This window comes from Homo sapiens, chromosome 12 (genome assembly GCF_000001405.40).
Source record: "Homo sapiens chromosome 12, GRCh38.p14 Primary Assembly".
Taxonomy (NCBI): domain Eukaryota; kingdom Metazoa; phylum Chordata; class Mammalia; order Primates; family Hominidae; genus Homo; species Homo sapiens.
Genome location: NC_000012.12, coordinates 5,011,451 through 5,026,292, shown reverse-complemented (window position 1 = coordinate 5,026,292; position 14,842 = coordinate 5,011,451). Strand labels below are relative to the sequence as shown.

The window sequence follows — 14,842 nt, the reverse complement described above, 5'->3', positions numbered from 1 at the left end:
AAAAGTCATCATACTGGAGACATAGAGACAGCTCCCAGGCAAACTGCTTTCAAGAAACCCATCCTATTCTGGGTTTGAACAGCTCAGCCAATATTTGCTTCTGCCATAGTATCTCAGTCATATATTCCCCTTTGCTGGTCCTCAGTTTCCCTCTCTGTGAAGAAGATGGGTGTGCCCCATTTCTCCTTTTTTCCCATTTATTTTTGGAAGCTCTTAGTGGAACATGTATTCGGAGATTTCTCAGTGGGCTTCCATGTCTCCCATCAGAACAGGAGAATTATTGATCCCAGTGGCTTTTATTTGCCAATGTGGCACTTTCAGAGACTTACAGAAGAGGCAGGCAAACAACACAAATGGAGAGAAACCCAAATGGAAACATGCATGTATATTTGAAAACAAGTATTCAGACATGTGCACATGGCCCTCTCCCACTCCCCAGGCACATACACAGAATCACACAACTCTATGAATACACATGCAGGCAGTTGTGAGTAGACAAAAATATATGCAGGGCTAACTATTTACACAGCTACACCTGAAATCAAACAGACCCACACCCACTCTTGAATATTCTCCGTCACAATTTCCCACTATAGGGTTAGAGATCAAGCGAACCTTGACCTCTTTCCTACTCCCAGCCCTCTTCTTCACCAAGGTTATGACGGCAGTCATGGGATCCAAGGATCCAAACACACACGTTTATTGAGATGTTTATTGAAATTCCAGGTGTGGGGAACATCAAGAATAAGAGAGTCCCTCCCGTGAGGGGCTTAGGTCTAGTAGAGGAAGGAGATGCACACAAAGCTACAAAGTCACATGAGAAGTGCTCTAACTGAAGTGAGCACAGGAAATTGGACCTATTTGTTTGATCCTGAGATCTGGACAGAAGGCAATCCTCCTCCTTCCTTCAGAGGATACAATGGAGACCCAGAGCAATCTGCTCAGCACCAGTAAGCTGGAAGCCATGCTGCCTTCCACCCAATTCTCTGTGGGGATGCTGTGCTGGTTTCAGTCCCTGGGTCCTGCTCCTAGTTCAGCCTCTCTTGCTTGCTTCTCAGATGTGTCTGGTGGTAGAAGTTGAGGAAGAGAACGAGGAGGCTGAGGGCTTACAGGAGCACAGATGTGTTGAACCCAACAGGGAAGGGGCACTCAGTGAGGAGACTGTAGGAAGAGGGGGCAGCAGTGGCCACAAACTGACCCTGGGCAAAAGAAAGCATGAGAAGAAAGAGAAGGGAGAGCAGTCAGTTTTTTCCACCCCATGATCCCAAGAATCTTCTTGACCCTTCTCCTGGTCGTGGTTTCCCCAATTCCCCCATCCAGCCATGTCATGGTGGCCCTGATGATAAACTCAGTCTATCCAGAGCCCCGTATGGGACACTTTAGGCTGTCATCACCATCTGGGGGGCAGTGGTTCTCCCAAAACTGCAAGACATCCAGGCACCTGGAGGGTGCAATCGGTGATCACAGACTCACAGGATATTAATGCTTAGAGGTCATCTGGCTGAGGCCCTCATTTTATAGATAATGACATTGAGACCTGAGCATGGAAGCCATTTGCTCAAAGTCCCACACTGTGCCAGTGAGTTAGGGTTAGTTCCAGGATCTGATGAGATGGCTACCGAGGCCCTTGCAAGTTAGGAAGCTAAGGAAGATCTAAGGATGAGAGGGCTTGTTTATGGGCAGATGCCAAGTCACTGGTATAGAGTGACAAGCCAAGAATAGAACCAAGGGTTCAGCCAAGGCCCCTGGAGCCAATGAGATCTCCTTACCAGCTGTAGGGTGGTAAGATATCATTTCCACCAGAAGCAGGGCCACATAGAAGGCCACAACCTGGCCAGTCCATGAAGACATGGACCAAAGAATTAAGCATCCCTATGAAGAAGGCTGCAGAGTGGGGTGTGGGGAGATAAAGGAAAATAAGTGGAGCTGGGCTTAGCTGTGGTGTGGGAGTTCTCTTTGATGTTTCAATCCTCCAAGCTGCAGAGAGCACCTCTGCAATCTCCACAGAGAATCCCTGGAAAGACCTTATCCTGCAGAGGTCCGGCATGAGCCATCTGAGATCGTGATGATGGAGGGCTGGAGTTATTGAGATGCTCAATGAGAATGTTTCTACTACCTTTGTGTTCTCTGGGCTGATGGCTATGAGCATCTCCCAGCAGCCACCTCCCCATCCCAGAGAGGGGTAGCCCGAGAGCTCTGAGGAGCCACAGGGACAAATGGGAGCAGAGGCCTGGTCTCATGACCTCAGGGAAGGGAAAAGTTAGAGACCAGCCATGATATTCCAGGGATGCAGGTCTCCTGAGCTGGGACTCAGCCCAGCAGACCAGCCCAGCAGACCTGCCTTACTAGGGCCTGGAGCAGGGCCGTCCACGGCGCGCATCACTTACCTGGCTGCCTGCTACATATTTGACTCCAGCCCACCCATCACAGGGCATGGTGCCATGGTGGTAGAGATGCAGGAAGGTGGGCTGCTCTGGCTTCATTCATAAAGTAAAGAACACCTGGAGAGGAGGAAGAGATGGCATCAACTCTGGAGGTCTCCTTTCTCCAGACTTCTCCAGGGGCCTCAACTACCCCTTAGAGTGGGATATGGTAATTCTACCTGTTTTACTGAAGAAGAGAGTAAAACTAAAGGGAAATAACAACAGTCAAACACCAATTTATGACCTACTGTGTGCTTTAATTGAAGCTTTTGAAATTCAAACCCTCGCAGGATCTAAGGTCTCAAAGTGTGAAAGCTTCAGGTGGTCTTCTAGATGCTGGGCAGGGCTGTGTGGTGGGAAGAGGAGGGAAGAGAACACTATTCTACTTTATGTGTATAAAATAATCACTTAAATACCACATAATTGTGTGCAGTTTATACTTCTACTACTTCCATTTTTCAAGAAAAAAAAAAAAAAAAAAAACAGAGGCACAGAAAGGTTAAGTAACTTGCCCAAAGGCACACAACTAGTAGGTGGCCAAACTGGGATCAGAACAGTCTGGCTTCAGAGACTGGGTTCTTTCCAATGTCCGATCCTTGCCCCCCAGGCCACCGGGGTAAGAGTTCAGGTGTTGAACAGTCAGCCCAAATCCGGACACCCACACAACACATTCCCACGTGATCTTTGCTCAGATCATTTTGGCAAGAGACTGAGAAGAAAGAGTACCCTCTTTTCATCACCAACCACACCAACATTATGCTCTTGCCCCACCCTGCTTAATCCCACAAGCTCCCTGGCCTCACCAGCAAGGTTTCTTCTCATTAACATGGAAGGATGGCTTTTGCCGTTGGATGACCCTTGCTATATCATGTCAGTTTTAAAATTTGTTTAATTTTCCATTTTAATTTTACCTGGAACCTGGATACTAATGGGGCAAATGCCTACTCCTACTTCTGTTGATAGAAAGCAGGGACCAGGGGAGCCGGCAGAGAGGGATGCTACCTCAGTGGCTGAGCATCCTCCCTCAGCCAGGTACTGGACCAAGGCTTTACTCTGAAATTAGTCTCTGGCATGGCTGCCTGGGCAAACCTAGAGAGCATTCTTGCTGGCAGAGTCAGACACCACCCCAGATTTGGCTGACGGATATACAGGAGCCCATGGGTCCGGGATCTTACCTGTCAAGCAATTCAACGTCCTTTGGAAAGAGGCACCAGCAGCACACGCTCGCCATCTGCTGGGCAGGAAGGGGAAGTTCCATCAGACTGCAGTCCGGCTGGTGCCACGGCTTGGCCCACCTGGGCTGGGTTCAGCCCCAAATCCTCACTGTTCTACGCACCGCTGATTCCACAGTGCCTACCTTCCTGTCTCCAGGAAGATGCCTGTTCGCACAGGAAAGAAGGGGAGAAGCTACTGGAGTGACCACAGAAGGACTCTCCAAATGTGCCCCAGCCCAGAACCTTGGAATCTAATGAGCATGTGGGCATCTTGTTCGTTGAAAAGAAGATTCTTAATCAGTGTGCCTGGGGTGGAGCACAGATTCTGCATTTCCAACAAGCTCCCAAATGATGCTGCTGGCCCAAGGATCATACTTTGAGTCACAGGACATGAGCCCATCACCAACATCCAGTGACTCAACATCCATATCAGCTGGTGAGAAGCCTTAGCTACCTGGAGACAGGCTTCAGCTAGAGTCTTTTGTTCTGCTTCCAGTTGAAACAGAGAACAGCTAACAGTGATGAAATCACTACCACCTAGCTACCGCTCAGTGTGTGCCGGCCCCTGTGCTAAACACTTTCATATATTATCTATCATATATTATCTGATTCCGTCTTCCTTCAATCATTTCGCTTTATAAAATAGGTATTATTATCTCAATCTTATAGATAAGAAAATTGAGTCCCAGAAGAGTTAGGTGTGCCACCCAGAGTCACACAGCAAGTAACTGGCAGAGCTGAGATCCAAATTGATGTTATCTGACTCCAAAACTAGCTAGTCCCCTGCCTCTCATCAAAAGGCTCAGGTGATACCTCCTTGACCTCCGATTGTTATGAAGTTGTTCCTCCTAACCCTCTCCAGGCTTGCTTCCTGCTCCCTGCCATACCCTCATTCCATGCTTTCTCCATCTGTAGTCCACTGGCTGGCAGAAGTAGCTGCAGTTAGCCAGCAGCGGGGTGACCATGACCTGAGAGGAAAAGGAAAGAGGAAAAGACCAAGTCATAAAGCCTGCTGCCACCATGGTGAGCCCCGACTGGCTCGGGCTCCTGAACACCAACACCCCAATGCAACCTCTGCTGACACTTGGTCAACAACTGCTAAAAAGAAACTCCATGGGGTGGCGAGGTTAGAGGCGGCAACTTGCATATATCTTGCTGGTCTCTAATTTTTTAATGTGAGCAAATATAGGCTACAACCCTACCCCGGGTGCCTACTATGCATGAAAGCCTGAGGTGGGTGCTGGAGACACCAAGGTGGTCCATACGCCAGCCCTGCCCTAAGGAGCTCAAAGCCTGGCTGAGAATGTAGAAAAAAATCCTAACCTTACAGGTTGGTGCTAGAGGAAGAGTAGAAAATAGCAGGTGTTCCAGGAGTCGGATCAAAGAATGAGGCGGCTTTGGGCAGACAGAGGGGAGGGAGTGGGAGTTTCATGCCAGGACAAGAGTATGTGGTACCTGGACCTGAGGGGCTAACTAGGAGATCAGCGGGACTGGTGCGGAGGCTCTGACCAAAGGAGAAGCTGGCCACAGAATTGGAGAGACAGAATTGTGAATAAAGGGTCTTGAAGCCTGTTGTAAGGAGCTTGAATTTTATCATTTATTGATTTATTTGACAATAATGTGTTGAAAGGTACAAAGCATTTCTCCATGCTGGGCACTGTTCTGAGCACTGGATCTCATTGATAAAACCAAACAGATACAAATCCCTACCTTGGGGGACATGGCATTCTGGCCATATATGCAAAAGGACCTACTGAGGTTTCTGAGCAGGAAGCTGACTGTGGGCGTGGCAGAGTTTTCAAGGGACTGGGGTGGCAGGAGAATGCCTGGTTGCCATAATTAAATGACAAATTCTCTAGGGCATGCCTCACGTCTCATGAGTTATTGGCAGCCCTCATGTGCTACCAGACAGTACGCTGGGTCTGTCTGTAAACGGATAAATAAGACAGAGGCCTTGCCTTTGAAGTACTTGCCATTTGGGAGGGGAGAAAGACACATACGAAAGTGGTGACACAGTTGGAGAAAGACACAGTCAGTGGGGGGTCAGTATATCCTTAATAAGCTCCTAAGGTGGGGGAGGTGTCTGCGGGGTTTGTCAATTCCTATGGTGTAAATACTGCCACCAGGGTGGAGGGACTTCAAGTTATTTCGCACAAAGTCACTGAACATGAATTTGCGGGGAGACCCACACCTGGTGCTCACCCGCGGGTAGAGTGGCTCCAGCCCACCTCAGAAAGTCCAGGACTGTACCCAGAGCTGGGAATGGCTAAGCAAGGAAACAAATAACCTGGCCGTAGAGGAGTCAGGGACCGCTTCCTGTGAGGCGACAACTGACCTGAATCTAAAGGATGTGCAGGAGTTTGTCAGGAGATTGGGGGACAAGAGCAATTCTGGCAGAAAATCAGTGATGTGCCCAGGCCTGAGGACTTGCTGAGCATGGCTGTGTGGGCTGGCGAGCAGGCCTGTGCTGGATGAGGGTGGTGTGCAAGGCTGCTGAGAGCATATAGAGGGAGACGAGGCGGAGTGGAAGACAAGGCCAGAGAGGACTCTAGAGGGCTTCATGTGTCCATGAAGGGGGTTCAGCCTCAGCCTCTGCGGGATGGGAAGCATCAGAGGCTCCTAGCAGGCAGTGGAACCATCCTCCCTGTGCTTGGGGTAGATTATTGTCAGTAGGGTGGAGGATGCACTGTAGCTCAGCAATAAGAAAGGAAGAGACGAAGAGGAGTTGGAAGAGATGGGGCTGTCCGGACCTGCTTCTTCTGTCTCCTCCCTGCTAACTCACCAACAGGTGGAAGAGATGGAGGAGGAGGCTGCAAGCTGTTCAGTCAGGGTGCCTGGTTTGCACTCTGCCTCTGTGCCTTGCCACCTGCTAAGTTACTTAACCCCTCTGTGCCTCAAACAGTGCTATCATGAGGATTAGATGAGCCAATCCTCATAAAGTGTCGACACCAATTCCTTGCCTGTAATCAACATGGAAACACATCTGTGATGATCATTACCACCTGTGAAAAGCTTTTCCTGACATCCTCACCCCTGGACCAGAGACCAGGTTACTGCCCCATCCTGCCTGCCCTTGGTGCGTGATACATCCTCTCTGTTGCCCACTCAACACACTGCATTGCAACTGCCTGTGTCCACACCTGTCTCCCCTCTAGACTGTGAGCCTCTGGAGGGCAGGGGGGCCTTATCCAACAGGGATTCTGCAGGCCAAACACAGCCTGGCACGAAGCATATATTTGATATACACCTGCTGAATGACTGTTTACAAGGTCTGAAAGGAATACCAGATTTGGGGATCAGAAAACCAGGCAGAGATGAACAGAGCCCAGGTGGAAACAGGAGACTGGGGATCCACATGAGGTGGGAGGGATAAGGAATTCCACTCTGGCTTGCCACTGACCTGTACTCTCTCATGTGAGGAAATGAAGAGTGAAAGTTTGCAACAGGGATTGAGCAGCCAACGATGGCACAGAATCCCAGCTCCTGCATGTGACCCCATCAAAAAGGCTTTTCAATTTTCTATGTAGGAATATCATGGTTCTACTTATCCCTTGGTCAGCCCTCCAAAAAAAGATCCTAGAACTCTCCAGGAACCCCAGCCCACCAGCCTTACCTCCCAGAGGCACCCTAGGAGAACCACCAGGCCCAGGTTGTAGGCAGTGAGGGCTGTGCCAGCCCCAGAGGCTCCTGTTGGGACACGAAGCAAGGCCTGACGCCACCAGGAGAAGATAGAAGACAAGGAGGAGGGTGGCAGGGAGTGGCAATGCACCAGGAGCCAAGAATCCATCCTCAAGCCTAGACAAGCAGAGGAGAAGTGATCACCGGGCCAGCCACACTGCCCATTCACCCCCAGTCCCTCCCCACAGGAACTCCCAAGGTCTTGTTCATCCAGCCCTTGTTCCCAAAAAGCCTGACACAGAGGCTGGCTGAGGAAACAAATGAAAGCTCCCACTGGATGGCATTGTCTCCTGCCTCTGCTTTCTAAGGCCCAGGTGTATTTATTCCAGAGCTTTTCCAGGGCACTGGCCATTGTGAGCACCTATAAGTAGAAGCAAGATTTGGGTCTTGTTCAAACCACCAACTCATCTACTTTCCTTTCCCCTCCTCAGTAACACAGTTGACTGAGAGTCCACAAACCGAAGTTCCTCAGTCTCTCCCATAGGACCCCCAGCTATGGGGTTGCCCCAGTACTCCTGCCTTTAGACACTGGATCACCACCTTCCATGCACTTTGGGGAGCCTCCATCGGCCACAACTTTGTGTCAATCCTCATACCTTTTGCTGCTCTACTTGAGATTTCCAGCTTCTGGCAGTGGCCTCCAGATTGCAGGGTACAAGAGACATGGATGTGGCTACTATGCAGCAAGAGGGGGACAGGGGGCAGAGAGGCACGAACGCTTCCCCTTTCCCTCCTCTCTCGCGCACAGTGCCTCCCCTCCCAAGCATCCCTGGCTCCTCCCACTTGTCACGGGGCTCAGCCACACCCAGTCCCTCCACAGCTTGACTTACACCTCTGGCTTCTCCCAGGCTCCTCTGCGCAGCGAAGAAAGCGGCTCCGGCTGGTCTGGTCCGGTGTTGCCAGCTGGTGGTGGGTTTGAGCGAAGGGTCCTCTGGGCTCCAGGGTGCAGGACGTGACTCACGGGTGGCCCCACCCTCCCAGAAGCGCTCTACTCCTGTGCTCTGATCTGTTGTCGACTCCAGCCCCAGCCCCTACACACAATGCACACACACAGGCACTCACACGTACACATGCACACATGCACACACACACAATTATTGAGAACAGGGAGCTGAGGCCGCCGTCCAGGCCCTGGCTGGGCTCCCTGCCATTCTAACGGCTCAAGGGAGAAAGAGAACAAGAGGCGGCGGGGGTGGGAGGAGAGCACTCCGAGGGCAAAGGACAATGGTAGCAGCTCCGGAGAGGGGTGGGGAGAAACTTCAAGATGGGCAGCACCCACATCCTCAGAGTGTCCCCATGGCCTGTGGCCCACACTCTTCCCTCAGAGCAAGGACGAACCTACCAGGGACTTGGACGGGCATGTAGAGGACACGCGCCTCTCCTGCCTCCACCAGGTTAGGCCACTCCTCTTGCCTCAGATTTCAATCTTACTCTTCCGTCCCTCTTTCCCACTGTTAAAGAGTAAGCGTTTATCTTTCTTAACCTGCTAAGTCCGCACCCCTCCTCTAGCTCCCCCTCAACAATAGGCCAAGGAGTATGGGGGATTGGGAATCCCAGATCCAGGCAGCCCTCTTCCCCACACCTGCCTCTATCCACCTGTGTCTGATAGGAGGCAATTACAATGGCCATTTGTCCAAATAACCTCTCTTAGGCCCATCCTTTCCCTCTTTATGAGATACAGGAAAAGAACCAACTTTAGAAGCCAGATCCCTGAAGGAAGGGGCCTGGCAGCCCACACTCTGGGTCTTACTCCACAGTGATTCAAGGGCAGGTCCTAGAACCAGCCTCTTTAGAATAGAGTGCCTCAGTTTCTCCTTCTGGCAAGATGGCACACTGTGGTGTTGTCTGTGTAAGCCCCGGATTGTTGATGCTCACAGACAAGAGGGTTAAGAGATATGAAGAACTAGAGGAGGTAAAGGTAGGTTTAAAAGCATGGTGGGCCACACACAATGGTTACATGCATGTACATTTGCACATGCTGCCAAAGGCCCTCGCTCTGCCCTGCCCTTGACTCTACTGGGAAAGATTCCCAGCTGGTTTCAGTTAGAAGACAAGCCCTCCTACACTGTCGTATGTCATTTTCCATAGAATCAAGTCAAAATTATTCCATCGGGGCTTCAAGGCTGCCCTTACTCTGGCCAGACCACCCCCCCGATATCCCCTCTGATCTTCTGGCAGAAGCAGAGGTCAATGTGCTGCTTCTGCCCCCTCCATGAACCCTGTCTGCCTGCCCTCTCTGGCATGCACACATCCATGTCTACTTCTCTGGCCTTTCCACACTTCCTTCTCCACTGACTGTTCAAACCCAGCCGTCATCCTTGCTGCCCTGAAGCCCCTCCTCGGCCACAAAGCCTCCCACTCCTTTTTCCCAACTCCCCACAGGACTAGCACTGTCTGCACCCAGAGTGTAGCCTATAAGTTTGGTCTTCCAGAGTAAATGGGAAAGTCCCTGAGGGACACGACCACACACTGCACTTAACAGATTGATGGAAACATCAGGAAAACCCTAGGGCGATGTTTCAGGAAGATGAAAACCATCTAGCTCAAAGCTTTCGCCATCACTCTGCTGGTAACTCTCCCTTGTGTATTCATAAAACCATCCCCTCATGTAGACAGCACCTTACAACCGATACGGGCAACTCTTGGGAAGTCCCCTATATAGCACCTGAGACGCTGTGGTGCCACGCTCATCCCCCAGAAGCAACTCAGATCAAGAGAATGGGGCTATGAATTCTAGGCCAGTTGCACCACAGCCAAGTGCTCTTTCTCAGAGCTCAGCCACATCACATAGCTGCTGTGAAGGAGGAGGCCACTGACCTCCTGTGACCGCCCCCTATTAAAGGCCGTTTGGGCTTATAGATCATATAGATTAGGGAGAAGTTTGTCTACCAACATCCTGCAGCTGTAAAATAAGATCATGACTGCATGCTACCACAGATTCCTTCTGACCCAAGCAAAACAACAAAAGGACTCCAAACCTCATTCCTTTCCCTCCTCAACCCACCGCGTTCACAGAACCCTGACTGCAGCTCAGCCACCTGCTCCCACTGCTGAGTGAGCTAAGCCACCATGAGGCCCTGAGATGAGACAGGCTGGCTCACCTGAGGGCAGAGGGCTGGAAATTGTGTGGGCAAAAACTGATATTGCAAGGAGTAGTGTATTTATATACCCACAGCATAATGACAGCTGACATTTATTCCCAGACCATGTGGCAAATGCCATTCTAAACGTCGTACCCATGCTAACACATTTTCTCCTCACAACACTCCCATGAGGTAGGTACTATCAGCACCTATTTCTGCAGATGAGAAAACAGGCACAGAAAGGTTAAGTAACTTGTCCAGTATCACACAGTGATAAGTAGCAGGGCCAGGATTCAAACCCAGGCAGTTTGGTTTGGAGCCCAGACACTTAAAAGTGCACTGTACGGTCTCTTCAGTCTGGTAGTGTGTCGTGGTTTGTTTTATTGGGATGAAATGAGCCAAAGAGTGGTCTTGATGAACAAGAAGAGGAAGCCCCAATTTATCCGATTCAAAATAGCAACTTCCCTACTGGCTCCCACAAGAATCCTGTGCAAGTGGCAATGAAAAGCAACATTCTTTCCTCCCTCCCTTCATTCCTCTATTTCTTCCCTCCCTCCCTCCATCCTTTCACCTAGATGGGACAAGGGGTTTTCAGATGCTTGGGATTCAGAGCAAAGGTGCCTCATCAGGCCTCACCACTCTCTGCGTGGGGAAAGAGAGGCCCTAAGAAAATGGTCAGCCCTTCCCCCTCTGAAACAATGACCCACCCGCCCTCTTTTCTCTGTGCTTGTGCAAGATTTTATTGGACTAGAAGAGTATCACTGCTTTTTATAAGTCATTGAACATGACTGGTATAGACAGTGAAGATGAAGCTGGATAATTTGGGCCACGATACTTTGGTGTGTACTGGCGGGAGTGCTGGCCTCCCGTGCCATCTTCCGAGAGGGATGCAGCAGTCATAATGGGGTCTTTTCTTTCTCCACTGGAGGGGTGTTATCCAGGGCACCGCCCTCTGCCTCTACAGGTCCTCTATATCAGGACCCAGGGCGATATATTTCTCACTGTCAAAATTAGGAAGGGCCACACCTCTCAGGGCCAAATTAGTAGGCCCTCAAGTCATAATAGAGAGATTTTCAGGTGCTAATCTCATCTTTAATTTTATTATATTTTTTACATAGTATATTCCTCCGACATAATTTAGTTTATCCTTCTGTTTCGCTATTATTGTAAGTAGCCTGGAAATTTTTACTGAGTGGCATGCAGAGGTTGTCAACATGAATAAATCTGTATGTATGAAAGCAGTTTTCAAGCATCTATCTTTTGCTGTGTATTAAATGGCTTATGCAGAGTCACAACCAGTCAAAGGAGTGAAGCCAGGTCAATGCACAGACCACCCACCCTGTTACACAGCCTCTAATACCTGCCTCTGTGCACACTCAGTGCACCCTTGGTTCTGCTCATTTCGCAAGAGTCCCTTAACCACATGTTAGTCTAGTCTCTTTAAGCTGAAACACATTTCTCAGTCACAGCTCTGGGCAGCTATTTCCCAAACTGAAGAACTTATTCCTGAATGTCATCGTCCAGAAGACAAGATGAAATGTGTATGTGCAAGTGTGTGTGTGTGTGTGTGTGTGTACACATTCTTGTGTGTGTTAACACAATGTCCTTCAAATTACTTTCTCTGTTTATGTCTCTATTTACCTTGATCAGTTCTACTTGTTCCAGTCATGCCCATTTCTGTCTACTTTTCTTGCTCGTGTTCTCCCTTCCCTTGAAAAGCAGCAGGAATGAGCACTAGAGGAAGATCGGGCCTAACAGGAAACGAAGGAGCAGTACTGTACAGCCACTACTGGGGAGCGAGGAGGGAGGGGAGCAAAAACCCAGTATTACCAGCAAAGGAAAGATGTTCTCTTTGGCAGAGGAGTTGAGGGAGGGGGAGGAGCTGTGCCATGGTGTGTGATGGGGAGAGGTGTTTTATTAATAGGATACCCCAATATGCTTCAAGGTACCTCATCTGCCGGTCAGCCGAGCTGCTCCCTGGACCCAAGGAAACCTGACATGATGCATGTCCCCACAGTCCTTCAGGCTGTCCGTCCCCTGTGCTAGGGGGAAGCAGCCCCAGGCTTTGCAGGTCAAAATTGGCAAATGAAGAGCTCAGTCCCGGCCTCATTTCTTATTTTGCCCCTAGATGCTCCCAGCTCTTGATGCATCGTGGGGACCATGCAGGGGACAGGCTGCACCCCTGTGGCCACTGGCAGCCTTCTCCTCTCCAATCAAGCTGATAAGAGAGCTAATTGTAAGAATCGCTCACAGGTGCCTTGGCCGGCACTCCTGCCAGCCTCATGGATGCAATAATGGGTCTTTGTGCAGTGTGGGCCATTACTAACAAGGATAACTAAATCATTCATTTCATTAACAACGGGGTTTGGCAGATAATTGTGCAAGAGGCAATTCTCAGCGATGCATGTTCCAGGAAGGAGTGTGGTCGGCTGATTTTCAACAGAGCTGCCAGGAGAAATATGAGACAAGGTTGAAACCACCACTGGGCCCTCAACCCCAGGATAGCCACTCTTAAAAGCCTGTGGCCTTATGGCTTTATGGTCAGAACTGGAGACAGATGGGAGAGAGAGAGAGGGAGAGAGAGAGAGAGAGAGAGAGAGAGAGAGAGGAGAGAGAGAATGAGAATGAGTCTGCTTCTTGCACAAAGATTCCCTTGCTGACCTTGACTTTTCTCTCCAATTTAATAGAATGAGGTTCCAAATTTCATCATCCTCCATCTCTGCCTCACCGTAGATCTGGTGTTTATGGGCCCACCACAGTAATCTTCCTAAAACACTAATTTTTACTATGTTAGGAGATGGAAAAAAAAACTCATTGTCTATAGCTTTCAAGTTCAGCTCAGACTAGTACCAAGATCCTTCTGAAAGCATGAACAGATGAAGAGGTAAACAAAAGGTGCTATATGCATGCAATGGACTATTACTCAGTTGTAGAAAAGAATGAAGTACTGACATAAGCTACAACATGAATAAACTGTAAGACATTAAAGGAAAGAAGCCACACGCACAAAACAACATATTGCAGGATTCTATTTATATGAAATGTCCAGAGTAGGAAAATCTGTAAACACAAAAAGATGAGTGGTTGCCAGGGCCCAGAGGCAGAAGGAAGGGAATTAGCCGTGACTGCCAATGGGTATGAGGTCTTCTTGAGGTGATAAAAAGGTTCTGGAATTAGATAATGATGATAGTCTTGTAGCTCTGTTAATATACTAAAACCACTGAATCGTACAATTTAAACAGGTGAATTTTACAGTATGTGAATTAAAAAAATCTTTTCTGAACTCAAGGCAGAGGGTCAGGTGGCGCCTGCCAAGTGCTGGACTTGTGGGGACAGAGACAGTTTTCGCTGGCACTAGGCTGTTGGCACGGTCCTGGGAACAGAGCTAAATAGCTTCCACTGAGGTTTGTGTCATGTTCCCTTCAAGGAGTTCTTCAGGCCCGTTCACAAAAGCAGTGCATGGTGCAAGTTAGGATTACAAAAAAAAGTGTCCGTTCTTTCTAACATTTCTCCTATTGGCTAGATGATCTAATTAGCTCCAAATTCTGAATGACCCTTCCCTCTATCCCTGTTCTAATTTGCAAAGGAAGGTTCTGAGGCATTCCAGAGTATTGCAGTGTGGAATGGCAGCTTTTCTCCAAGAGCAGGACCGCCAACGTGCCCAATGAGATATTTGTTCATTTATGACCAATACTCACTCCCTCATTTCCAAATCCTGTCATCCTACCTGACTAATCACTTGTCCAGAATTAATATTTTTTCAAGCATGAATTCCTATGCTCAACTTTGTAAATTTTACAGTATTGCATAAATGTAATTCGGTATTTCTGAAACTACTACTGTTATTATTCTCATGGTATATTAGATGAAAGAAGAAAGACATATGCCATTAGGAACTGATGCTTTGAGCTACAAGGAAGAGACATTTACAAAGGAGTAAAACCTGCTTTAGTGACTCCTGTGAGTAATTGTAGATATATTTGCTATATCATTGGTCATATTTCTCCAGTCATTTCCTGAGTGCCTCTTTGATTCTGCTTCTCCATCTAGAAAATAGGGGAAAACACCCACTGGTCGAATTCTTTTTTGTTTGTTTGTTTTTGTTTTTGTTTTTGTTTTTTTTGAGACAGGATTTCCCCGTGTCACCCTGGCTGGAGGTGCAGTGGCGTGATCTCAGCTCACTGCAGTCTTGACCTCCCAGGCCCAGGTGACCCTCCCACCTCAGCCTCCTGAATAACTGAGGCTAATTTCTTTTTTTTGGAAACAGAGTTTTGCCCTGTTGCTCAGGCTGGTCTCAAACTCCTGCATTCAAGCAATGTGCTGGACTCTGTCTCCCAAAGTGCTGGCATTGTAGGTGTGAGCAGCCACTGTGCCTGGCCAATAGAATTCTTAAGGGATCTTATTTCCTTATTTCATTACAGTCTTTTCACAGTCAAGAAATAGT

At 48.9% G+C, this 14,842-nt stretch overlaps 1 long non-coding RNA gene across 5 annotated transcripts, besides 2 other annotated features; it reads right to left on the bottom strand.

Annotated features, from left to right (window-relative positions):
- Window positions 1-698: 698 nt before the first annotated feature.
- LOC100507560 (uncharacterized) lies at window positions 699-11,215 on the bottom strand. Of its 5 annotated transcripts, NR_187676.1 has the most exons (7): window positions 7,912-11,215; window positions 7,251-7,432; window positions 4,451-4,605; window positions 3,599-3,802; window positions 2,672-2,769; window positions 2,388-2,501; window positions 699-1,199 (listed from the first exon to the last, which is right to left on the bottom strand). It is a non-coding gene; the product is annotated as an uncharacterized LOC100507560 (long non-coding RNA). The 5 variants fall into 5 exon arrangements; NR_187672.1 differs by having other exon boundaries at window positions 7,251-11,215; NR_187673.1 differs by having other exon boundaries at window positions 4,525-4,605; window positions 7,251-11,215.
- Window positions 9,864-9,963: an enhancer, noted in NCBI's record as "active region_5837". NCBI's record gives its function as "activates an Ori minimal core promoter by ATAC-STARR-seq in GM12878 lymphoblastoid cells {active_cell/tissue: GM12878}" and the evidence as "EXISTENCE:reporter gene assay evidence [ECO:0000049][PMID:35858748]".
- Window positions 9,994-10,063: an enhancer, noted in NCBI's record as "active region_5836". NCBI's record gives its function as "activates an Ori minimal core promoter by ATAC-STARR-seq in GM12878 lymphoblastoid cells {active_cell/tissue: GM12878}" and the evidence as "EXISTENCE:reporter gene assay evidence [ECO:0000049][PMID:35858748]".
- Window positions 11,216-14,842: the final 3,627 nt, after the last annotated feature.